Here is a 26,988-nt window from a genome sequence, read left to right on the forward strand (position 1 = left end):
TGCAACCCTAGTCTCGGATAAAACAGACTTTAAACCAACAAAGATCAAAAGAGACAAAGAAGGCCGTTACATAATGCTAAAGGGATCAATGCAACAAGAAGAACTAACTATCCTAAATATATATGCACCCAATATAGGAGCACCCAGATTCATAAAGCAAGTCCTTAGAGACCTACAAAGAGACTTAGACTCCCACACAATAATAATGGGAGACTTTAACACCCCACTGTCAACATTAGACAGATCAACAAGACAGAAAGTTAACAAGGATACCCAGGAATTGAACTCAGCTCTGCACCAAGCACACCTAATAGACATCTACAGAACTCTCCACCCCAAATCAACAGAATATAAAGCTCTCCTCAGCAAATGTAAAAGAACAGAAATTATAACAAACTGTCTCTCAGACCACAGTGAAATCAAACTAGAACTCAGGATTAAGAAACTCACTCAAAACTGCTCAACTACATGGAAACTGAGCAAGCTGCTCCTGAATGAATACTGGGTAAATAATGAAATGAAGGCAGAAATAAAGATGTTCTTTGAAACCAACGACAACAAAGACACAACATATCAGAATCTCTGGGACACATTCAAAGCAGTGTGTAGAGGGAAATATATAGCACTAAATGCCCACAAGAGAAAGCAGGAAAGATCTAAAATTGACACCCTAACATCACAATTAAAAGAACTAGAGAAGTAAGAGCAAACACATTCAAAAGCTAGCAGAAGGCAAGAAATAACTAAGATCAGAGCAGAACTGAAGGAAATAGAGACACAAAAAACCCTTCAAAAAATCAATAAATCCAGGAGCTGGTTTTTTGAAAAGATCAACAAACTTGATAGACTAATAAAGAAGAAAAGAGAGAAGAATCAAATAGATGCAATAAAAAATGACAATGGGGATATCACCACCGATCCCACAGAAATACAAACTACCATCAGATAATACTACAAACACCTCTACGCAAATAAACAAGAAAATCTAGAAGAAATGGATAAATTCCTCGACACATACACTCTCCCAAGACTAAACCAGGAAGAAGTTGAATCTCTGAATGGACCAATAACAGGATCTGAAATTGTGGCAATAATCAATAGCTTACCAACCAAAAAGAGTCCAGGACCAGATGGATTCACAGCCGAATTCTACCAGAGGTACAAGGAGGAACTGGTACCATTCCTTCTGAAACTATTCCAATCAATAGAAAAAGAGGGAATCCTCCCTAACTCATTTTATGAGGCCAGCAGCATCCTGATACCAAAGCCTGGCAGAGACACAACAAAAAAAGAGAATTTTAGACCAATATCCTTGATGAACATTGATGCAAAAATCCTCAATAAAATACTGGCAAACCAAATCCAGCAGCACATCAAAAAGCTTATCCACCATGATCAAATGGGCTTCATCCCTGGGATGCAAGGCTGGTTCAATATATGAAAATCAATAAATGTAATCCAGCATATAAACAGAACCAAAGAAAAAAACCACATGATTATCTCAATAGATGCAGAAAAGGCCTTTGACAAAATTCAACAACCCTTCATGCTAAAAACTCTCAATAAATTAGGTATTGATGGGACGTATCTCAAAATAATAAGAGCTATCTATGACAAACCCACAGCCAATATCATACTGAATGGGCAAAAACTAGAAGCATTCCCTTTGAAAACTGGCACAAGACAGGGATGCCCTCTCTCACCACTCCTATTCAACACAGTGTTGGAAGTTCTGGCCAGAGCAATTAGGCAGGAGAAGGAAATAAAGGGTATTCAATTAGGAAAAGAGGAAGTCAAATTGTCCCTGTTTGCAGACGACATGAATGTATATCTAGAAAACCCCATCATCTCAGCCCAAAATCTCCTTCAGCTGATAGGCAACTTCAGCAAAGTCTCAGGATACAAAATCAATGTACAAAAATCACAAGCATTCTTATACACCAATAACAGACAAACAGAGAGCCAAATCATGAGTGAACTCCCATTCACAATTGCTTCAAAGAGAATAAAATACCTAGGAATCCAACTTACAAGGGACGTGGAGGACCTCTTCAAGGAGAACTACAAACCACTGCTCAAGGAAATAAAAGAGGATACAAACAAATGGAAGAACATTCCATGCTCATGGGTAGGAAGAATCAATATCGTGAAAATGGCCATACTGCCCAAGGTAATTTACAGATTCAGTGCCATCCCCATCAAGCTACCAATGCCTTTCTTCACAGAATTGGAAAAAACTACTTTAAAGTTCATATGGAACCAAAAAAGAGCCCGCATCGCCAAGTCAATCCTAAGCCAAAGGAACAAAGCTGGAGGCATCACACTACCTGACTTCAAACTATACTACAAGGCTACAGTAACCAAAACAGCATGGTACTGGTACCAAAACAGAGATATAGATCAATGGAACAGAACAGAGCCCTCAGAAATAACACCGCATATCTACAACTGTCTGATCTTTGACAATCCTGAGAAAAACAAGCAATGGGGAAAGGATTCCCTATTTAATAAATGGTGTTGGGAAAACTGGCTAGCCATATGTAGAAAGCTGAAACTGGATCCTTTCCTTACACCTTAGAGAAAAATTAATTCAAGATGGATTATTAAAGACTTAAACATTAGACCTAAAACCATAAAAACCCTAGAAGAAAACCTAGGCATTACCATTCAGGACATAGGCATGGGCAAGGACTTCATGTCTAAAACACCAAAAGCAATGGCAACAAAAGCCAAAATTGACAAATGGGATCTCATTAAACTAAAGCGCTTCTGCACAGCAAAAGAAACTACCATCAGAGTGAACAGGCAGCCTACAAAATGGGAGAAAATTTTTGCAACCTACTCATCTGACAAAGGGCTAATATCCAGAATCTACAGTGAACTCAAACACATTTACAAGAAAAAAACAAACAACCCCACCAAAAAGTGGAAAAAGGATATGAACAGACACTTCTCAAAAGAAGACATTTATGCAGCCAAAAGACACATGAAAAAATGCTCATCATCACTGGCCATCAGAGAAATGCAAATCAAAACCACAATGAGATACTATCTCCCACCAGTTAGAATGGCAATCATCAAAAAGTCAGGAAACAACAGGTGCTGGAGAGGATGTGGAGAAATAGGAACACTTTTACACTGTTGGTGGGATTGTAAACTAGTTCAACCATTGTGGAAGTCAGTGTGGCGATTCCTCAGGGATCTAGAACTAGAAATACCATTTGACCCAGCCATCCCATTACTGGGTATATACCCAAAGGACTATAAATCATGCTGCTATAAAGACACATGCACACGTATGTTTATTGCAGCACTATTCACAATAGCAAAGACTTGAAACCATCCCAAATGTCCAACAATGATAGACTGGATTAAGAAAATGTGGCACATATACACCATGGAATACTATGTAGCCATAAAAAATGATGAGTTCATGTCCTTTGTAGGGACATGGATGAAATTGGAAATCATCATTCTCAGTAAACTATCGCAAGAACAAAAAACCAAACACCACATGTTTTCACTCATAGATGGGAATTGAACAATGAGAACACATGGACACCAGAAGGGGAACATCACATGCTGGGGACTGTCGTGGGGTGGGGGGAGGGGGGAGGGATTGCATTAGGAGATATACCTAATGCTAAATGACGAGTTAATGAGTGCAGCACACCAGCATGGCACATGTATACATATGTAACTAACCTGAACATTGTGCACATGTACCCTAAAACTTAAAGTATAATTATAAAAAAAAAAAAAATAACAAAGTCAAAAAAAAAAATCATGTCCTTTGCAGGAACATGGATGGAGCTGGAGGTCATTATCCTTGGCAAAGTAGCATAGAAAGAGAAAACCAAATACCACATATTCTCACTTATAAGTTAGAGCTAAGTGATGAGAACACATGGACAAATAGAGGGGAACAACACACACTGGGGCCTACCTGAGGGTGGAGGGTGGAGAAGGGAAAGGATCAGAAAAAATAACTATTGAGTACCAGGCTGAATGAATGATATGATTTGGCTCTGTGTCCTCATCCAAATCTCACCTTGAATCGTAATCCCCATAATCCTCACGTGTCAAAAGCAGGACCAGGTGGAGGTAATTGGATCATGGGGGTGGTTTCCCCCATGCTGTTCTCAGGATAACGGGTGAATCTCACAAGATCTGATGGTTTTATAAGTGCCTGGCAGCGTTTCCCCTGCATGCACTCACTCCATCCTGCCACCCTGTGAAGAAGATGCCTGCTTCTCCTTTGCCTTCTGCCATGATTTTAAGTTGCCTGAGGCCTCCCCAGCAATGTGGAACTGTGAGTCAATTAAACCTTTTTTCTTTTTTTCTTTTTTTTTTTGTTTTATTTTATTTCATTTTTAGTAGAGATGGGGTTTCACCATGTTGGCCAGGCTGGTCTCGAACCCCTGACCTCAGGTGATCCACCCACCTCAGCCTCCCAAAGTGCTGTGATTACAGGCTTGAGCCACTGCACCTGGCCGACCCATGTCATTTTAGACCAGTGCTGACCATTTCTCTTATTCTGAGATGAAGGAAATTTTCAATGTGGCACTATCTACTACTGTAGCCACTGGCCATGGGGCTACTGAGCACTGAAATTGTGGCTGGTGCCATCAGGGAAGCAAACACTTCATGTTTATTTTATTTTTTTATTTTATTTTATTTTATTTTATTTTATTTTATTTTATTTTATTTTATTTTATTTATTTTATTTTATTTTATTTTATTTTTTGAGATGGAGTCTCGCTCTGTCACCCAGGCTGGAGTGCAGTGGCGCAATCTTGGCTCACTGCAAGCTCCGCCTCCTGGGTTCACGCCATTCTCCTGCCTCAGCCTCCCCAGCAGCTGGGACTACAGGCACACACCGCCATGCCCAGCTAATTTTTGTATTTTTAGTAGAGACGGGGTTTCACTGTGTTATCCAGGTTGGTCTCAATCTCCTGATCTCGTGATCTGCCCGCCTTGGCCTCCCAAAGTGCTGGGATTACAGGTGTGAGCCACTGCACCCAGCAAATACTTCCTATTCTTTTTTTTTCTTTTTTATTTATTTATTTATTTATTTATTTATTTTTTATGGATCATTCTTGGGTGTTTCTCGCAGAGGGGGAGTTGGCAGGGTCATAGGACAATAGTGGAGGGAAGGTCAGCAGATAAACAAGTGAACAACGGTCTCTGGTTTTCCTAGGCAGAGGACCCTGCGGCCTTCCGCAGTGTTTGTGTCCCTGGGTACTTAAGATTGGGGAGTGGTGATGACTCTTAAGGAGCATGCTGCCTTCAAGCATCTGTTTAACAAAGCACATCTTGCACTGCCCTTAATCCATTTAACCCTGAGTGGACACAGCACATGTTTCAGAGAGCACAGGGTTGGGGGTAAGGTCACAGATCAACAGGATCCCAAGGCAGAAGAATTTTTCTTAGTACAGAAGAAAATGAAAAGTCTCCCATGTCTACTTCTTTCTACACAGACACGGCAACCATCCGATTTCTCAATCTTTTCCCCACCTTTCCCCCGTTTCTATTCCACAAAACCTCCATTGTCATCATGGCCCGTTCTCAATGAGCTGTTGGCTACACCTCCCAGACGGGGTGGTGGCCGGGCAGAGGGGCTCCTCACTTCCCAGTAGGGGCGGCCGGGCAGAGGCGCCCCTCACCTCCCGGACCGGGCAGCTGGCCGGGCGGGGGGCTGACCCCCCCACCTCCATCCCGGACGGGGCGGCTGGCCGGGCAGAGGGGCTCCTCACTTCCCAGTAGGGGCGGCCGGGCAGAGGCGCCCCTCACCTCCCGGATGGGGTGGCTGGCCGGGTGGGGGGCTGACCCCCCCACCTCCCTCCCAGACGGGGCGGCTGGCCGGGCGGGGGTCTGACCCCCCACCTCCCTTCCGGACGGGGCGGCTGGCCTGGTGGGGGCTGACCCCCACCTCCCTCCCGGACGGGGTGGCTGCCGGGCGGAGACGCTCCTCACTTCCCAGACGGGGTGGCTGCCGGACGGAGGGGCTCCTCACTTCTCAGACGGGGCGGCTGCCGGGCGGAGGGACTCCTGACTTCTCAGACAGGGCAGTTGCCAGGCAGAGGGTCTCCTCACTTCTCAGACGGGGCAGCCGGGCAGAGGCGCTCCTCACATCCCAGATGGGGCGGCGGGGCAGAGGCGCTCCCCACATCTCAGACGATGGGCAGCCGGGCAGAGACGCTCCTCACTTCCTAGATGGGATGGCGGCCGGGCAGAGACGCTCCCCACTTTCCAGACTGGGCAGCAGAGGGGCTCCTCACATCCCAGACGATGGGCGACCAGGCAGAGACGCTCCTCACTTCCCAGACGGGGTGGCGGCCGGGCAGAGGCTGCAATCTCGGCACTTTGGGAGGCCAAGGCAGGCGGCTGGGAGGTGGTTGTAGTGAGCTGAGATCACGCCACTGCACTCCAGCCTGGGCACCATTGAGCACTGAGTGAACGAGACTCCATCTGCAATCCCGGCACCTCGGGAGGCCGAGGCTGGCGGATCACTCGCGATTAGGAGCTGGAGACCAGCCTGGCCAACACAGCAAAACCCTGTCTCCACCAAAAAAATACGAAAACCAGTCAGGCGTGGTGGCGGGCAGGCACTCGGCAGGCTGAGGCAGGAGAATCAGGCAGGGGGGTTGCAGTGAGCCGAGATGGCAGCAGTACAGTCCAGCTTCGGCTAGGCATCAGAGGGAGACCGTGGAAAGAGAGGGAGAGGGAGACCGTGGGGAGAGGGAGAGGGAGAGAGGGAGGGGGACGGGGAGGGGGAGGGGGAGGGGGAGGGAGAGGGAGAGCTAAACCTTTTTTCTTTATAAATCATCCAGTCTCAGGTATTTCCTCATAGCAGTGTGAGAAGGGACTAATACAGTGACAATATAATCTGTACAACAAACTCCCATGACACGAGTTTCTCTATGTAACAAACCTACACATGCGCCCCTGAACCTAAAAGTGTAACACACACACACACACACGAAGCCAAATATCACCTTTAATACAGATAGAGAGGCCAAACCAGGTGGTAGAATGTGAGGTCTATTAGCCAAGTGAGCTTGCTAATATGGGGCTCCAGAAGGCAGCCTTTTCTTCTCGGTCACAGGCAAGCTATGAGCAGGCTAGGCCTCCCATGAAGGGGCAGGACAGAGTGCCTGTTCCCTATAGTCAGTTCAATGTGAAGAAGAGTGCAGAAAGAAACAGCAGCTGTCACACAATAAAGGCAGATCCTAACCCTGGAAGGCTGAGCCCCGCAGTGCTCTGTATAGTCAGGGCGCCTCCTAAGCGGAGAAGAGGTAGAGTTGAGCCACTTCTTATTCCATCATTCCAAATTTACCAATCAGATAGAACATCCCTCTCACTAAAAGAGAGTCAGAGAAAGGGTAAGACCATAGGAAAACTCTTCTTGATGGAAATCAGGAGTGGGAGAATGTTGTTATACTCTAATAAAAAAAAATTTTCCATGTTGGGTTTTTGTGGGGTTTTTTGATACAATATTGCAAAAAATAATGCTCCACAATTTTTCTTCCCAGGAAAAACCTTATCAAAATCTCTTCCTAATGTGTAAAGAGCACCCAACTCTGCCTTTGGAGATTATATTTTTTTGCCTCTTTCTTTACTCTTCATTCAAATGATATCATAGTTTTTTTTAGATTTAAAAATCTCTTTATGTCTGGAAATCATTAGTCCAATACAATCTTTTCTGCATTATGCATGCTCTCTTTTTTAAAAAAAACCTCATATTTAAAAAAAATAGCAAAAAAGATACAAAACAGGATCAATAAAGAAAAAAAGTCCCTCCCTACATGTTATGAGATAGGGTTGGCTGCAAGAGAAACTTAATAAGATTTAGGAAGTAGAAGGAAGGCTGAGCAGATGATGCTTATCATTGATCGAGGGCCATAAAGGAAAGACTCAAAGGTGCTAGTGGTTTCCAAGTCATCCTCACTTGTTCTCGCTCCATATCCAGCCCATCTTCCTGACTGCCAACCTTGATAGCATCAAGTTTTGTCAATGACTTTTTTTAGAATTTTTTATTTCAATAGGTTTTGGAGAAACAAATGGTATTTGGTTACATTAATAAGTTCTTTACCAGTAATTTCTGAGATTTTTGTGTACCCATCACCCAAGCAGTGTAACTGTAAGCAATGTGTAGTCTTTTATCCCCCGCCTACACACACATTCCCCCAAGTCCCCAAAGTCCACTGTATCATTCTTATGTCTTTGTGTCTTCATAGCCTAGTTCCCACTTTCGAGTGAGAACATAAGATGTTTGGTTTTCCATTCCTGAGTTACTTCACTTAGAATCATCATCTCCAATTCCATCAAGGTTGCTGCAAATGCCATTATTTTGTTTCTTTTTATGGCTAAGTCGTATTCCATGGTGTGTGTGTATATATATATATATATATATATATATATATATATATATACACACACATATATACATAACACATTTTCTTTATCCACCCATTGATTGATGGGCATTTGGGCTGGTTCCATACTTTCACAACTGCAAATTGTGCTGCTATAACCATGCATGTGTGTGCAAGTGTGTTTTTCCTATAATGACTTCTTTTCCTCTGGGTAGATACCTAGTAGTGGGATTGCTGGGTCAAATGGTAGATCTACTTTTAGTTCCTTAAGGAATCTCCACACTGTTTTTTATAGTGGTTGTACTAATTTACATTCTCAACAACAGTATAAAAGTGTTCCCTTTTCACCACATCCACACCAATATCTATTTTTTTATTTTTTTATTATGGCCATTCTTGCAGGAGTAAGATGGTATCACACTGTGGTTTTGATAGGCATTTCCCTGATAATTTGTGATGTTGAGCATTTTTCCATATGCTTGTCAGCCATTTCTATATCTTCTTTTGAGAATTGTCTATTCATGTCCTTAGCCCACTTTTTGGTGGGATTGTTTCTTCTGCTGATTTGTTTGAATTCTGTGTAGATTCTGGATATTACTTCTTAGTCAGATGTATAGATTGTAAAGATTTTCTCCCACTCTGTGGGTTGTCTATTAACCCTGCTGATTATTTATTTTGCTGTGCAGAAGCTTTTTAGTTTAATTATGTCCCATCTATTTATCTTTGTTTTTGTTGCATTTGCTTTTGGATTCTTGGTCATGAAGTCTTTGCCTAAGCCAATATCTAGACGGTTTGTCCGATGTTATCTTCTAGAATCTTTATGGTTTCAGGTCATAGATGTAAGTCTTTGATCCATCTTGAGTTGATTTTTGTATAAGGTGAGAGATGAGGATCCAGTTTCATTCTTTTACCTGTGGCTTTCCAATTATCCCAGCACCATTTGTTGAATAGGGTGTCTTTTCCCCACTTTGTGTTTTTGTTTGCATTTTCAAAGATCAGTTGGCTGTTAAGTATTTGGCCTTATTTCTGGGTTCTCTATTCTGTTCCACTGGTCTATGTGCCTATTTTTATACCAGAATCATGCTGTTTTGGTGGCTATGGACTTATAGTATAGTTTGAATTCGGGTAATGTGATGCCTCCAGATTTGCTTTTTGCTTAGTCTTGCTTTGGCTATGCGGGCTCTTTTTTGGTTCCATATGAATTTTAGAATTGTTTTTCTAGTTCTGTGAAGAATGATAGTGGTATTTTGACAGAAATTGCACTGAATTTGTAAACTGCTTTTGGCAGTATGGTCATTTTCACAATATTGATTCTACTCATCCATGAGCATGGGATGTCTTTCCATTTGTTTGTATCATCTATGATTTCTTGCAGTAGTGTTTTGTAGTTTACCTTGCAGAGGTCTTTCACCTCCTTGGTTAGATATATAACCAGGTATTTTTTTTTTTTTTGCAGCTATTGTTAAGGGGTTGAGTTCTTGATTTGCTTCTCAGCTTGGTCGCTGCTGGTGTATAGCAAGGTATATAGTGGTTTATAGATTTGTGTGCATTAATTTCATATCCTGAAACTTTGCTGAATTCATTTACCAGTTTTAGGAGCTTTTTGGATGAATCTTTAGGGTTTTTTAGGTATACGATCATATCATCAGCAAACAACAAGAGTTCAACTTCCTCTTTACAGATTTGGATGCCTTTTATTTCCTTTTCTTGGCTGAGTGCTCTGGCTAGGACTCCCAGTACTATGTTGAACAGAAGTGATGAGAGTGTGTATCCTTGTCTTGTTCCAGTTCTCAGAGGGGATGCTTCCAACTTTTCCCCATTCAGTATAATGTTAGCAGTGGGTTCGTCATGGACAACCTTTATTACCTTAAGGTATGTCCCTTCTATGCTGATTTTGCTGAGGGTTTAATCACTAAGGGATGCTGGATTTTGTCCATTGCTTTTTCTGCATCTACTGAGATGATCATGTGATTTTTGTTTTTAATTCTGTTTATGTGGTGTATCACATTTATTGACCTGTGAATGTTAAACCATCCCTCCATCCCTGGTATGACACCCAACTGATCATGGTGGATGATCTTTTTGACATGCTGGTGGACTCAGTCCACTAGTATTTTGCTGAGGATTTTTGCATCTATGTTCATCAGGGATATTGGTCTGTAGTTTTGTTTTTTGGTTATGTCTTTTCCTGATTTTGATATCAGGGTAATACTGGCTTTATAGAATGATTTAGGGGGGATTCCCTCTTTCCCTATTGTGTGGAATAGTGTCAATAGGATTGATACCAATTCTTTGAATGTCTGATAAAATTCAGCTGTGAATCCATCTGGTCCTGGACTTTTTTTGTTGGCAATTTTTTTATTGCCATTTCAATCTTGCTGCTTGTTGTTGGTCTGTTCAGAGTTTCTATATCTTCCTGGTTTAATCTAGAAGGGTTGTATATTTCCAGGAATTTATCCATCTCCTCTATGTTTTCTAGTTTAAGCATGTAAAGGTGTTCACAGTAGCCTTGAATGATCGTTTGTATTTCTGTGGTATCAGTAGTAATATATCCCGTTTCATTTCTAATTGAGCTTATTTGGATCGTCTTTCTTCTTTTCTTGGTTAATGTCGCTAATATTCTATCAATTTTATCTTTCCAAAGAACCAGCTTTTTGTTTCATTTATCTTTTGTATTTTTGTTTGTTTGCTTGTTTGTTTCAATTTCATTTAGTTCTGCTCTGATCTTTGTTATGTCTTTTCTTCTGCTGGGTTTGGGTTTGGTGTGTTCTTGCTTCTGTAGTTTCTTGAGATGTGACCTTAGTTTATCTATTCGTGCTCTTTCAGACTTTTTGATGTAGGCATTTAGTGCTATAAACTTTCCTATTAGCACCTTTTGCTGTATCCTAGAGGTTTTGATAGGTTGTGTCACTATTATTGTTCAGACTTTTAATTTGCATCTTGATTTCATTGTTGACCCAAAGATTATTCAGGAGCAGGTTATTTAATTTCCATGTACTTGCATGGTTTTGAGGGTTCCTTTTGGAGTTGACTTCCAATTTTATTCCACTGTGGTCTGAGAGAGTATCTACTATAATTTATATTTTCTTACATTTACTGAGACTTGTTTTGTGGCCTATCATATAGTCTATCTTGGAGAACATTCCATGTGCTGATGAATAGAACGCATATTCTGCAGTTGTTGGATAGAATGTTCTGTAAATATCTGTTAAGTCCATTTGTTGTAGGAACAATTTAAGTCCATTGTTTCTTTGTTGGCTTTCTGTCTTGATGACCTGTCTAGTGCTGTCAGTGGAGTATTAAAGTCCCCCACTATTGCTGTGTTGCCATCTATCTGATTTCTTAGGTCTAGCAGTAATTGTTTATAAATTTGGGAGCTCCAGTGTTAGGTGCATATATATTTAGGATTGTGATATTTTCCTTTTGTACTAGTCCTTTTATCATTATATATTTTCCTTTTGTACTAGTCCTTTTATCATTATATAAGGTCCCTCTTTTTTTAACTGCTGTTGCTTTAAGGTTTGTTTTGTCTGATATAAGAATAGCTACTCCTGCTCACTTTTGGTGTCCATTTGCATGGAATATCTTTGTCCACCCCTTTACCTTAAGTTTATGTGAGTCCTTATGTGTTAGATGAGTCTCCTGAAGACAGCAGAAACTTGGTTGGTGAATTCTTATCCATTCTGCCATATTGTATCTTTTAAGTGGAGCATTTAGGCCATTTTCATTCAATGTTAGTATTAAGATGTCAGGTACTATTCTATCCATCATGCTATTTGTTGCCTGGATGTCTTTTTTTTCCCATCGTGTTATTGTTATATAGGTCCTTTGACATTTATGCTTTAAGGAGGTTCTATTTTGGTGTATCACAAAAATTTGTTTCAAGATTTAGAACTCCTTTCAGCAGTCTTGTAGTGCTGGCTTGCAGTGGTGAATTCTCTCAGCATTTGTTTGTCTAGAAAAGACTGTATCTTTCCTTCATTTATGAAGCTTAGTTTTGCTGGATACAAAATTCTTGGCTGATAATTGTTCTGTTTATGGAGGCTAAAAATAGGACCCCAATCCCTTCTAGCTTGTAGGATTTCTGCTGAGAAATCTGCTGTTACTCTGATAGGTTTTCCTTTATACATTACCTGATGCTTTTGCTTCACAGCTCTCAAGATTCTTTCCTTTGTCTTGACTTTAGATAGCCTGATGACTATGTGCCTAGGCAATTATCTTTTTGTGATGAATTTCCCAGGTGTTCTTTGAGCTTCTGGTATTTGGATGTCTAGATCTGTAGCCAGGCTGGGGAAGTTTTCCTCAATTATTCCCTCAAATATGTTTTCCAAACTCTTAGATTTCTCTTCCTCCTTAGGAAAAGCAATTATCTTAGGTTCGGATGCTTAACATAGTCCCAAGCTTCCTGGAGGCTTTGTTCATTTTTTAAAATTATTTTTTCTTTGTCTATGATGGATTGGGTTAATTCGAAAGCCTTGTCCTTGAGCTCTGAAGTTCTTTCTTCTGCTTGTTCAATTTTATTGCTGAGACTTTCCAGTGCATTTTTCATTTCTCTAAGTGTGTCTTTGATTTCCAGAAGTTGTGATTGTTCTTATTTATGCTGTCTATTTCACTGAACATTTTTCCTTTCATATCCTATATCATATTTTTGATTTCTTTAAGTTGGACTTCACCTTTCTCTGGCGTCTCCTTGATTAGCTTAATAATCGACCTTCGAATTCTTTTTCTGGAAATTTAGAGATTTCATCTTGGTTTGGATTGCTGGTAAGCTAATGTGATCTTTTGGGGCTGTTAAAGAACCTTGTTTTGTCATATTATCAGAATTGTTTTTCTGGTTCCTTCTCATTTAGGTAAACTATGTCAGAGGGAAGATCTGGGACTCGGGGCTGCTGTTCAGATTATTTCGTCTCATGGGGTGCTCCCTTGATGAACTGTTCTCCCTCTTCCCCTAGGGATGGGGCTTCCTGAGAGCTGCACTACAGTGATCATTTTTGCTCTTCTGGGTCTAGCCAACCAGTGGAGCTACAAGGTTTCAGGCTGGTACTGGGGAGTGTCTGCAAAGAGTCCTATAATGTGATCCATCTTCAGGTCTTTCGGCCATGGATACCAGCACCTGCTCCAGTGGAGGCAGCAGGGGAGTGAAGTGGACTCTGTGAGGGTCCTTGGTTGTATTTTTGTTTAGCGCACTGTTTTCTTTTGTCGGTTGGCCTCCAGCCAGGAGGTGGCGCTTTCAAGAGTGCATCAGCTGCAGTACTATAGGAGGATGCAAACTTGCCCCATGGTTGCCTGGTTAAGTATTCAGGTTTTTCAGGCAGTAGACAGGGCCATAGAGCCCCCAAGAGATTATATCCTTTGTCTTTGGCAACCAGGGCTGGTAGAGAAAGACCACCAGGTGGGAGCAGGAATAGGTGTGTCTGAGCTCAGACTCTCCTTGGGCGAGGCTTGCTGCAGCTACTGTGGGAGATGGTGGTATAGTTCCCAAGCCAATGGAGTTATGTTCCCAGGGGGATTATAGCTGCCTCTGCTGAATCACACAGATCACCAGGGAAAAGGGGTAAAGCCGGCAGTCTCAGGCTTCACCCCGCTCCCATGTAGACTACAGTCCTAAAGGCTGGTATCATGCCCACTGTGCCCCAGCAATAGGACCAAGTTTATTTCCAGGCAGCCAGTGACCAGGGCTGAGAACTTCCCCAGACCACCAGCCTCTCCACTGAGAAAGCAAGCAGACTCAGTTTTTCAGCATCTCAGGGAGCCTGCAGTAGTGATCCAGTTCCTCCAAATGGTCTGTGCATTCTCTCAGCTTTCCTGGCATGTTCCTGCAGTGGTTCTTGGAGCAGAAGTTCACGATGTGAATCTCCACACACTGCTCTGAGTGGGAGCTGCAAGCTAGTCCTGTCTCCTATCCGCCATCTTAATCCAAATCTCCAAAGATGCTTTTGCAAGTAACAATACCCCATGCTGCCAAATGACTCTTGAATAGCAAGGCCCACAGAGAAGCAGTGTGGTGGAAACTTCTTCTCAGAAAAACTCAATCCTAATTATAAATGGCTAAAAAGAAGGCATTATAAAACAGAACCTCCCAGGGTGTTGGTGAAGTCAGGAATGGCACTAAAATGAGCCATCATATTTCCAAGCCAAGCCATATGGCGTGAGAGCTAATAGAGGCACTAGAGGACTTAGAAAGTAAAATCTGCCAATTTATTAGAAAATTAGCAGACATACTATTACTTAGCTTAGGTAAACTTGATTTGCTATAGAAAGATACTATCTAACATTCAATATATTTTAAAAAACCAATCCTACCTATTAAAAACTACTTTGGCAGCCAATAAAATAGATGCCTATTTTTTATTGCAAAGAGATAAAACTTAAAACTAAAGCTATATTTTACCTCAATTTTCTTGAGTGACTTTATAACTCATTTATATTTTATTAAAAAACCATTTTCCAAGCTGGATTGCTTTAATTTAAAGTATAAATTCTACCTAAAGAAATAACTGGAGATGGATATATTACATATATATTTATAAAGTATATGTTTAGGAAGTAGGAAGTTTAAACACAGCTGCTTCCTTAATACATTGTTTGCTATCATTTTATAACCACAATAAGTTATAGTCAAAATAAAAGGTTTTTTTCCTTGTATTACTCTTCAGTGATTTTATAGAGGGGAAATCAGATGTTGGGCAGCGTTCAAGAATACATATTACTTTTCAGTGTTCTCACTCTATGATACCTTGATTTTATCCCACAAAATCTTTTCTGGGGTTTCAAAGTTTTCTGAATCCAATGAGGATTATGTTTATTATTATTATTACCACTCACACCAATACACCATGCCATTTTTTAAGACAAGTAGAAACAGCATAAGGCTTAAAAAATATAGTGGGTTTGCTAATGCACAATTTTTCTTTAATTTTTACTTTTATTCTAGATTTTAAAAATGTGAAATGCTTCACGAATTTGCATGTCATCTTTGTGCAGGGGCCATGCTAATCTTTTCTGTATCATTCCAATTTTAGTATATGTGCTGCCAAAGAGAGCACCTAATGCACAATTTAAAGGGTCATTTATTTGCTGTGTAATTTTGACAAAAAGGTCAGTTGTTTCATTCTCTTTGAAGTTCAAGCACTAGTTATTGTTATAACTATAACAATTACATTGTTATAGTTTTATAATAAGTGGTATAAACATGCCTATAAAATAATTGTTTTCTTTTGCCTTTTATTTATTTATTTATTTATTTGAGACAGGGTCACCCAGGCTGGAATGCAGTGACGCAATTACGGCTCACTGCAGCTTTGACCTCCTGGGCTCAAGTGATCCTCCTGCCTCAGCCTCCTGAGTAGCTGGGACCACAGGCATGCACCACCACATCCAGCTAATTTTTTTTTTTCATTTTTAGTACAGACAAGGTCTCACTATGTTGCCCAGACTGGTCTTGAACTCCTGGCTTCAAGTGATCCTCCTGCCTCAGGATTGCAGGTGTGAGCCACCAGGCCTGGCCAATAAATTTTTAATGGGGAAAAAAAGCTTTTTTCTTGTGATGACTAGCATAAAAACATCAGCCATCCATTGCAGAAAAAGTGGGCTTTAAATCAAGGTTTAAAGAGAAATACTGTCTAACATTATCAAACAGTAAATATAAAAAGATAGTAACATTTTTCTAAGTGACAAACTCATTCTTCCTTAATAAATTTTAATTTAGGAAACCAAAATCCAGGTGAGAATATATTAAAGACAGCATTTGTAATATTTTTGACCCAGCTGAAAGAATAAATAATAATGACTATTTATTGAGGATTTACTGTACTTAGTTATGTATTAATACACATATAGTCTCACTCAATCCTGACAATAACACTATGAGGTAGATAATTTATTCTTAGCTATGTATTATGTGTATTAATACATGACACATAAATATGTGTATTAATACACATGTAATCTCACTCAATCCTGACAATAACACTATGAGGTAGATACTTTATTTCTCTTTAGATGAGGAAACTAAGCCAAACTCTCTTGCTATACTACAAGAAAGGAATTCTTCATACTTTACACCATTTCACCAAATTAAATGAATTTGTACTTTAATTAAAAGGCAAAGCTACTTTGTGAAAACACTCACTAATTGAATCATAAACATATCCACGATCCGTTTAAACATGTTCTTTTCTACACTTTAAATTTGAAGCAAAATCAGAATTATTTTATAACTAGCACAGATGTATTCAATGCCTAAAACACTGACAGTGATATTGGACCTTGGAGATAAGAGAGAGAAAAAAGGAGTCATGAAGATGCTTTATCTCCTTCGGCTTTTCAAATTGTACTCACTGCTAACAAATATTAGATTTTCCCCAAGAATACTCAAAAAGGTTTCTCTTTTAAGCATATAATATTATCTTTAGAAATTAAGTGTATAAATCTATTGTTTCTAGGAGTGTAAGTCCAACACAAATCTTACAAATAGTCCTCAGGTCTCTTGCTGGCTAGTTGTTAGATCACCAAAACCATTGTAAGTAGAAGAAATGCAGTAACCTATTTTTAATTGTAGATTTCTAAGACCGATTTCTTTTTTTTAGCTAAGGTTGTCTATAACATTACTTAGGCCATAAAGTAAACATTGAGGTTTCGGTGATTGAGGCCTGGTAGAAAGTGGTGGAAATGAGTCTCCCAAGACATAAACAATTCTCAACATTAGCTGAAATTTCTTGGTGGCTCTAAAGCCCTTGGGGAAAAACGAAAGGTTGTCCTCATGCTCAAAATAAACACAAATGCCCTACTTTCAAACCAAAGCCTGTAAAAGGGGCAGCTGCCCATATATTATGACTTGTTAAACTAATGGATGAGTATATACTATGTAAAGTAAGCATGTCCATAAACAAAGAGCATTCCGATGATCAGTTTATACATTCGCCTATGCTAAAACCCTAACTTGTAAGGACCCAGAAGTGACTGAGAACACAGTACTGGTCAGGGTGATATGCAATTATGATAAAAGTAGGATTTTAGTATTTTAAATGTTTACTTCTTTTCCCCAATCTTATTTATTTATTTAAGAGATTGGGCGGAGGCAAAGGGGTCTCTCTGTGTTGCCAGGCTGGAGCGCAGTGGCTATTCACAGGCCACTGCAGCCTCAAACTCCTGACTTCGAGTAATCCTCCTACTTCAGCCTCCTGAGTAGCTGAAACTACAGATGTGTATCACCATGCCTGGGGTTCCTCAGTCTTTCAATTCTTTCTTTAGTTGTTGAAAGAACCACACCAATTACCATGATCACATCTAATAGTCTAAGAGTCTAATATGGAACAAAAGATTCCAAAAATTAATTACAAATAAAAAATGGCTTAGAATTAATATGTCAAATTTCTTCAGAAAACTTTAGTAAGCTTATCTAGAAAGATTATCATTCTCAGGAGAAAATCTCTGTATAGTCTTGTTTTGAACCAATTTTATAAGATTTTGGAGTGGGGCTCACTTTAGAGGACATGTGATGTAGACAGCAGCAGGGTGAAGAGATTGTCCATACGGTAGGGCAGGAGGAATGAAGGAGGGCACAATAGTGGCTTAGGGCAGGTTGTCAGAGCCCACGAGTATGAAGAGGGTGTCCACAGGGGAGACAATGGCAGTCCAGAGCATGGTGTCAGAGCCAGAACCGGGTGAGGAGGGCATTTGTGCATGGGGGTGGGACAGTCTCGCAGGGGTTGTTGGAACCCAAGGGGATGGAAAGGGCATCCACGTGGAAGGTGGTGGAAGTGAGGATCCAGGGCAGGGGATCACAACCTGAGCAAGATAAGGATGGTGTCCATACGACTACCAGGACCCAAGTGGGGTGAAGAGGACATCTCAAAGGGATGGGGAGACTAGAGGAGAGGGGAGAATGAAGCAGCAGCCCTGCATGGGTTGTCAGAACCAAAGCAGGTGACAAAAGGTATCCAGGTGGAGGTTGAGTGACAACAACATCCCAGGATGCGGTGTAGGACTCTGAGCGGGGTGGTGAGGGCAGCTAAAGAAGGCAGTAGAAATGGTAGCAACTCGGCATAAAGTGTCAGAGCCTGCAGAATGAGGAGGGTATCTGTGCTATAGGAGCCACAGTGTGGGCTTGGTGTGGGGTGCTGGAGCCCGAGAGGCATGAGGAGGGCCTCTATGAAGAAGGCAGAGGCAGGGGCAGCACAGGGTGAGATGTCAGAGCTCAACTGAGGTAGAAGAGCATCCCTATGGGGAGGTTTCCACAAGGGTGCCTCTGTATGAAGTGAGAGAGAACATCCGTGTGGGCTTGGCCATGGCCTGGAGCAGGAAGGGAGAGCCCAGGTGAGGTGAGGAGGCATCCACGCCACAGGGAAGCAACTCTATTGGAAGATTAGTTACACACAGTGGGGATGATAAAGTAATTAAATATGTCAAGGATAATGGGAGACAAGTTCCTCACTGTCAGAGAAGGGGGGTGCAATTATGGAAAGGGGGAAAACTGGAATGAACCCTGTGCTGTTAGACTAGAGCTATGATATTAGACCAAGTGCAGTGGCTCATGCCTGTAATCCCAACATTTTGGTAGGCCAAGGCGGGAGGATCACTTGAGTCCAGGAGTTTGAGACCAGCCTGGGCAATACAGAAAGATCCTATTTCTACAAAAAATAAAAAATAAAAATGAGCCAGGAGTGCTGGTGCATTCCTGTAGTCCCAGCTACTCAGGAGTCTGAGGTGGGAGGATCACTTGAGCCCGGGATGTCGAGGCTACACTAAGTGGTGATCATGCCACTGCACTCAATCTGGGTGATAGAGTGAGACCCTGTCTCAAAAAAATTTAAAAAAGAACTATGAAAGTAATATGAGCTCATAGTTTTTAATGAAGACAGAGATAAAGACAGTGATAGAGATAGAAATATGTTTTAAAATGGTATAATTGGTAAATTCACAATCATTGTGAGTAATTTAAAATCACCTCTGACAGAAGATAAATCAAAGCGATAAAGAATTGAAGAAATTATAGTTTTGAATCACTTACTATTACTTATATTATTATAATTATAAATATCAACAACAAAGCAATAGGTCCAGGTTATTTTTTGGAGTATTTTACTTTTAAGCAACTGATAATTCCTTTTTTAAACAAATAGAGAATAGAAAAAGTAAAACCCTAACTGACTTTACTAAACTATTATAATATAATCTTTTTTGGAAAACCAGACCATGGCAGAACAATAAAGAAAAAATACAGGCCCGGTGCAGTGGCTCATGCCTGTAATCCCAACACTGGGAGGCCAAGGCGGGCAGATCACTAGAGATCAGAAGTTCGAGACCAGCATGGCCAACATGGCGAAATCCTATCTCTACAAAAAAATACAAAAATTAGCTGGGCGTGGTGGTGCACACCCGTAATTCCAGCTATTCGGGAGGCTGACATGGGAAAATCACTTGAACTCAGGAGGTGGAGGTTGCAGTGAACTGAGATCACGCCACTGCACTCCAACCTGGGTGACAGAGCAAGACCTGTCTCAAAAAAAGAAAGAAAAAATCCTAATTTCACCTGTGAGCATGAATGCAAATTTCTATGGAAAATATTAGTAAACTATATCCAGCGATTTGTATGTGTGTGTGTGCATATGTTTACATGTGTATGAGTATATGTGTGTGTGGGAACAAGTTGAATTTGTCCCAGGAATGCAATGAAGATTATTTAGCATTAAAAAAGTTATAAACCCAATTCACCACATTAACAGATTAAGGGAGAAAAACTCATCATTTTAAAAAATAATAATCTGCATTAAACAAAATGCAACACTAATGCATCACTAAAAAAAAAATACAGCAAACTAGGATTAGGAAGAAACTTCCTTAGTCTGATTAAAAACAAAACAAAACCTCAGCAAACATAATACTTAATGGCAACATTTGGGAACATTTTCCTTCAAGTCAGGAATAAGATGAAGATGCCTGTTAGCATGACTCTTACTGAAAAAGGGCCTAGTATGCCTGGTCAATGCACTATGAAAGACACTTGGTATCAAGTGTGGAAATGAAGAAACAAAACTGACTTTATTCACAGATAATATTCTTGCCCACACAGAAGGCCCAGGACAATCAATGAATAACAACCAGAAATAAGAAAACAAATATCATTACAAAATGCAAGGTGTTGGATCCATGATCACTATTCACGAGTCAAGATATTCCTACATGCCAACAATAAACATCTGGAAAACTGAATTTTAAAAACTGAATTCATAATGGCATTAAAATCCTTAAAATACCCATGAATAAAAGCATAAAACTGAACATATGGATTTAAAAACACTGATGGATAAACTGACAACTAGAACAAACTAAAAACTGGGGGAAAAAACACTTTTATTTGGGATCTTAGTATATTACATATTAATGGGAAAAAGATGAGTGTATTTTGGCTCCAAATAACAGAAAACCAACCACCATAAACAACAAAAATTATCATCTCACAAAACAAGATATTTTGAGGTAAGGCTCATAAGCCATCATTAAGGATTCAGAAAGTTTTTTTTTCTTTTTGCCTTGATGGAAAAAATACATAATGAAGAAATAAGCTCCTTTTTCTGCCTCTTGATATATGTTTGTGACACTTTAGACATTCTGGATAATGAAGGCAGCTCACCGACATCCTGAAGAGGACACAGCCTTGAGCCTTACCTGCTTCAATATTTTTGGCAATGTCTGGTAAACTAACAATATATAACAGGAGACATATTCCAGGGTATTCACTGCATAATTTTTCCTAATCTCACATACATACACACATACAACACACACACACGCACACACACACACACACAGCACAAATGCAACAGCCTAACTAAACATCAGTATAGATTGCATAAATAAATTGTATATTTATGATGTGGTTTAAAGGAATGAGCTAGATCTACATACATCACTTTATTTATTTATTTATTTATTTATTTATTTATTTATTTATTTTTGAGATGGAGTCTCCCTCTGTCACCCAGGCTGAAGTGCAGTGGCACAATCTCAGCTCACTGCAACCTCTGCCTCCCAGGTTCAGGAAATTCTCCTGCCTCAGCCTCCCGAGTAGCTGGGACTACAGAGGACCGCCACCACACCCAGCTAATTTTTGTATTTTCAGTAGAGACAAGATTTTGCCATGTTGGCCAGGCTGGTCTCCAACTCCTAACCTCAAGTGATCCGCCCACCTCGGCCTCCCAAAGTGCTGGGATTACAAGTGTGAGCCACTGCACCCAGCCCATCACTTTGGATTATCTTAAAAATAGAAACTTGAGACTTCATGTCTAAAACACCAAAAGCAATGGCAACAAAAGCCAAAATTGACAAATGGGATCTCATTAAACTAAAGAGCTTCTGCACAGCAAAAGAAACTACCATCAGAGTGAACAGGCAACCTACAGAATGGGAGAACATTTTTGCAATCTACTCATCTGACAAATGGCTAATATCCAGAATCTACAATGAACTCAAACACATTTACAAGAAAAAAACAAACAACCTCATCAAAAAGTGGGCAAAGGATATGAACAGACACTTCTCAAAAGAAGACATTTATGCAGCCATAAGACACATGAAAAAATGGTCATCATCACTGGCCATCGGAGAAATGCAAATCAAAACCACAATGAGATACCATCTCACACCAGTTAGAATGGCGATCATTAAAAAGTCAGGAAACAACAGGTGCTGGAAAGGATGTGGAGAAATAGGAACACTTTTACACTGTTGGCACTGTAAACTAGTGCAACCATTGTGGAAGTTGGTGTGGCAATTCCTCAGGGATCTAGAACTAGAAATACCATTTGACCCAGCCATCCCATTACTGGGTATATACCCAAAGGATTAGAAATCATGCCGCTATAAAGACACATGCACACGTATGTTTATTGCAGCACTATTCACAATAGCAAAGACTTGGAACCAACCCAAATGTCCAACAATGATAGACTGGATTAAGAAAATGTGGCACATACACACCATGGAACACTATGCAGCCATAAAAAAGGATGAGCTCATGTCCTTTGTAAGGACATGGATGAAGCTGGAAACCATCATTCTCAGCAAACTATCGCAAGGACAAAAAACCAAACACCGCATGTTCTCACTCATAGGTGGGAATTGAAAAATGAGAATACATGGACACAGGAAGGGGAACATCACATACCGGGGCCTGTTGTGGGGTGGGGGGAAGGGGAGAGGGATAGCATTAGGAGATATACCTAATGTTAAATGACGTGAGTTAATGGGTGCAGCACATCAACGTGGCACATGTATACATATGTAACTAACCTGCACGTTGTGCACATGTACCCTAAAACTTAAAGTATAATTAAAAAAAAATAGAACCTTGAGAGAAAAAAGCAAGCTATTTAGGGATATTTATAGTATAATATCACTTATGTAAAATTAAAACCCATAGCATAAATGCTCTATATTATTTATGAGAAAGCAAACATCTAATAAAAATATAAAAACAGTGAATTGAGCTTGTAATTATCTCTAGGGAAAGAAAAAGGAAAATCAGATTAGAGATGGTTATATAGTATCAAAAATGCTTCAACTTTATCTCTAGTTTTATTTCTTTAATGAAAAAGGATCCATGATAAATATGAAAATAATGATAAATCATATTGAGTCTATGTGGAAAGTTTACAGATACTTGCCATTTTATGTACATTTATGCTTCACAATCCTCTGTCCTTTTTAAAGTACTGTATAATTTTTAAAAATACTTCATAATTTTAAAAAACACATACTACATATTTTTTTAAAAGTTTCCCATGAAAATATTTCATCAGTCATGAAAAGTTCCTATCCCACATACAAATATCTGTATAAACACTACAAATGGAGATCACTTCCTTCATTTTTTACTAAACGCCATTTTAAGACACATGCTATATGTTGCTTAAGGACTAGAAACTAGGTAATGTCAGAAGAAATGTAAATAGCGATAATATGTTACAGAAAAAGTAGCAAGGATCAAATAAAGATGCCATGAAGAGCAAGAAAGGTCCAAATGGCATAAAATTGAAAGAGGTGTCCAGAGGTTAGTCCAATGCTCAAAAAACATCCTTGGTATTAAATGAGAAGCCAAAGATGTTACTGTCAAAATTTTTTTTTAAACAGGTGTGAAAAAAGTTTCTACTTGAATTTTAACTAGGGGGCACTTAGAGAATATGAAGCAGGGCACATGTCAACAATATGATTTATTACTAAGGCTATAATAAATGTCAAGGTTTTTCTCTGGAAGTCAAAACATTAATTATTAAGATCCCACGAGGTTCCCATAGCAACATACCTGAAGAAGGAGCCTTTCAAAAGCCAGAAAGTTGTCCCACTTGGCAGTCTGTGGGTGTTTCAACGTTTGAGCTGTGGCCAGTCCAAGCTGGAGGAGGCCACAATGATTCATTAGAGCTTTGAGGTTGTTCTTGAAGAGCTGAATATAGGACATGAGCTGTCCCGGTGTGACTCTCCCTGGAAACATAAGAATTTATCAGTGTACCCCCTTCTGGGAATAGTACAAATAATGAGAAGGATTCCATTAATAATACCACTGTCTTGTATTTGGGCAGAACTTCAGAGCTGACTGCAAGCTTTCCTAAGCTATTGTGATTCTTACAACTATATAGTGACAAGAGCAAAACTGGTCCTATTATTAATACCTGCATTTTGCAAGTAAGGAAACAGGGATGCTAATTAAGGGATCTGGCCAAGGTCATGTTGCCAGTAGAATTCATTTTATCATTATGTAATACTCTGTAAATAAATTTTCAAATAAAGTCACACAAATAAATATTTGTTGAGCTCAACTTGGAGTACCTCTTTATGACATATGACATAGCAATCTAAGAGGGAAAAAGATAAGATTTCTAATTGTGTGTGTATGTACCTAAAAGAAGATGAGAAATAGATTATTTCTCATCTAAAACTTTACCATTGATATCAGTGAGTTCATGACAATATTCGTGAGATAAAAGCAGTTACATGGAACAAAAATGTATCAAGAACTACAGTGCAAAACCACTGGAAGAGGAGGTATCAGAAGAAAGGGTTGGTGTGGGGAACAGCACATTTGCTACAATGGTCACCTACATTTAGAACAAGAGAGCCTACCTCATAAAAGCATAGAGACTATACAAACACTTGTACATCTACAAACACACAAACTGTTGAGGATTCACTCCTTCAGAGCCCCTAACTCCAAGTTTTGCCAATAGCTGTCTTTCCACCGAGTCTCCTCCCACTCTCCAGTCTGTAAAATTTCATTCCTGCCATTCCTCCATGCTATGCGCAAAGCTCTTGGACATCGGATTCTCCCCACCAGGCAAAAAGGCAATGGGGCCAAACATAGATGTAAGCCAAGTAATTCATTCCTATATGTTTCACCCATGCCATGTTTGTGGGTTGTTCTTTGATACTGAAATCCAAGTTTATTTGCTTGTTATAAACTTGTTATAAACTGAAATCCAAGTTATTTGCTTGTTAAGTATTTGGCAATGAAACCACCTGCATTTATTTAGCAATTTACACAGTGCTTACACAAACACACCCTTTACTGATTCTCATGGCAACTCCTTGAGGTAGAAAACGAGGCTTGTGCTGCATCTATTAGTCCTGCCTGACGTGCTAAGAAAGTAATGTCTTACCCAGTGCTAAATGGCAGATATCACTTAATAAATGGTTTTTGCTAAAAGTAAAGACCTTGCCACATGAAACTCAAAAGCCTACAACATATCTTTCTATCTTTTCATTAATTTTTTTGAAGAGATAAAGAATGTTTAAGTTCTTCATTACCAGTTTATCAGGGTAAGCATTTAAAGAAAAAGAACAGTGGGAATAAGTAGGAGGGTGAGTCTCATGAGTTTCTTTGGTCCCTTGGTAAAGCATGGGTTTGTTCCTGATTCTCAAAGCAGCAAGCTAACAATCTGCTTGCTCAAGTACTCATAGAAAAAAACCTCATTAATACTTTGTTTCTTTATCAGGTTTATTAAGGTATTTTCTACATACAGTAAAATTCAGCCTTTTCTAGTGTACAGTTCTATGAATTTTGACAAATGGATATGGTTGGATAACCACTGTCACAGTCAAAATACAGAACATTCCCATCATTCCAAACAGCTCCCCTTCTTGGTAGTCCATTCACTTTCCCTAGTTCCAGCCCTGTTGGTTGATGAACCCTTATCCGTGTTTATCTGATTTCCATCTCACAGTTTTGTCTTTCTAGAGTGTCACATAAATGGAATCACATAGTATGTAGCCATTTGAGTCTGGCTTCTTTCACTGAACCATAATGTATCTGAGATTCATCCACGTTGCTGCTTGTATTAGTAGTTTGCTCTTTTTTCTTGCTGAGTGATATTTCATTGTGTGGATGTATCATAGTTTATTTAGCCATTTATTTATCTATTCACTAGTTAATGAGTATTTGGGTTGCTTTCAATTTTTTAGAAATTATGAATAAAGCCTTCACAAACATCTGTGTACAGGTCTTTGTGTGTGTGTGTGTGTGTGTGTGTATACATATGTTTCATTTTCCTTTAGGCAAATTTCTAGGAGCAGGTTTCTAGGACAGATGTTAAGTATATGCTTACTTTTAATTTTTTTTTAATTCTTAAGCTTTATTTTATCACTCTTATCAAACATATCAGAAAGCATATCAACAGTGCATCTTATGTTAAGTTTACAACAAAATTGAACAATGTAATTGTGTTTGATGAAAAAGTTTTATAGCAAAAAAGCGTACAATACAGTCCATTGAAATGCAGGGTTCATGCTTTTTAGGTACGTTAAAAAGTGGAAAATAAAAGACCTCTGCTACTCAGCAACATCAAACAAGTTTAAAAGACTTGAGTGGAAATCAGATACTTAGGGGTTTGTGAAAAAAACTTCTTGGTACTGACCCACATATACATTTATAGTTTCATTTAGTTATTTTTTTTTAATTTTTATTTTAGGTTCAGAGGTACATGTACTGGTTTGTTATATAGGTAAACTCGTGTCATGGGGATTTGTGGTACAGAATGTTTTGTCACCGAGGTACTATGCCTAGTACCCAATAGTTATTTTTTCTGATCCTCTCCTTCCTCCCACCCTCCACCCTCAAGTAAGCTCCAATATCAGCTGTTCCCCTCTTAGTGTCCATGTGTTCCCATCATTTAGCTCCCACTTATAAGTGAGAACATGCAGTATTTAGTTTAAGCACATGTTTAATTTTATAAGAAATTGGCAAACTGATTTCCAAAGTGGGCTGTACCACCAGCAACATATGAGAGTTTTAGTTGCCTTACAACTTCACCAACACTTGGTTTTGTCAGCTATTTTTATTTTAATGATTCTAACAGATGTGTAGCAGTATCTCATTGTGGTTTAAAATTTCATTTTCCTAATGACTAATGATGTTAACCACCTTTTCATGTGTGTCTTTTGCCATCCTATATCTGTTTTGGTGAAGTGTCTGGTCAAATCTTTTGCTCATTTTTTAATTAGGTTGTTTGTTTTCTTATTACTGAGTTGTGAGTGTCATTCACTTTTATTGATTCATTGATTCAACATATATTTCTGTAACAGGCACTATTCCTGTTTCTAGGAATAAACCTGTGAACAA

General features: G+C 39.6%; 1 protein-coding gene and 1 pseudogene across 8 annotated transcripts in view, besides 2 other annotated features; both read right to left on the reverse strand.

Annotated features, from left to right (window-relative positions):
- The window catches only part of SCFD2 (sec1 family domain containing 2), a 493,080-nt gene that overhangs the window by 377,162 nt on the left and 88,930 nt on the right, over nt 1-26,988 (reverse strand). For 7 of the 8 annotated variants that reach the window (NM_152540.4, XM_017007787.3, XM_047449646.1 and 4 more), the window contains exon 4: nt 23,683-23,858. The exons of the other annotated variant lie outside the window; for it this stretch is intronic. In NM_152540.4, the coding sequence (NP_689753.2) occupies nt 23,683-23,858 (176 nt within the window). The remainder of the gene's footprint in view (nt 1-23,682; nt 23,859-26,988) is intronic. 8 annotated transcript variants of the gene reach the window in all.
- Nucleotides 6,042-6,553: an enhancer, noted in NCBI's record as "H3K27ac hESC enhancer chr4:54122352-54122863 (GRCh37/hg19 assembly coordinates)". NCBI's record gives its function as "activates a minimal SCP1, AML or CMV promoter by ChIP-STARR-seq in naive H9 embryonic stem cells {active_cell/tissue: H9 hESC(naive)}" and the evidence as "EXISTENCE:reporter gene assay evidence [ECO:0000049][PMID:30033119]".
- Nucleotides 15,318-15,424, reverse strand: RNU6-310P (RNA, U6 small nuclear 310, pseudogene; annotated as a pseudogene).
- Nucleotides 23,719-23,933: a silencer, noted in NCBI's record as "fragment chr4:54140029-54140243 (GRCh37/hg19 assembly coordinates)". NCBI's record gives its function as "represses an EF-1alpha promoter that drives an FKBP-Casp9 reporter gene in an ReSE screen in K562 erythroleukemia cells {active_cell/tissue: K562}" and the evidence as "EXISTENCE:reporter gene assay evidence [ECO:0000049][PMID:32094911]".

The sequence above is a fragment of the Homo sapiens genome, chromosome 4, assembly GCF_000001405.40.
Source record: "Homo sapiens chromosome 4, GRCh38.p14 Primary Assembly".
NCBI lineage: Eukaryota > Metazoa > Chordata > Mammalia > Primates > Hominidae > Homo > Homo sapiens.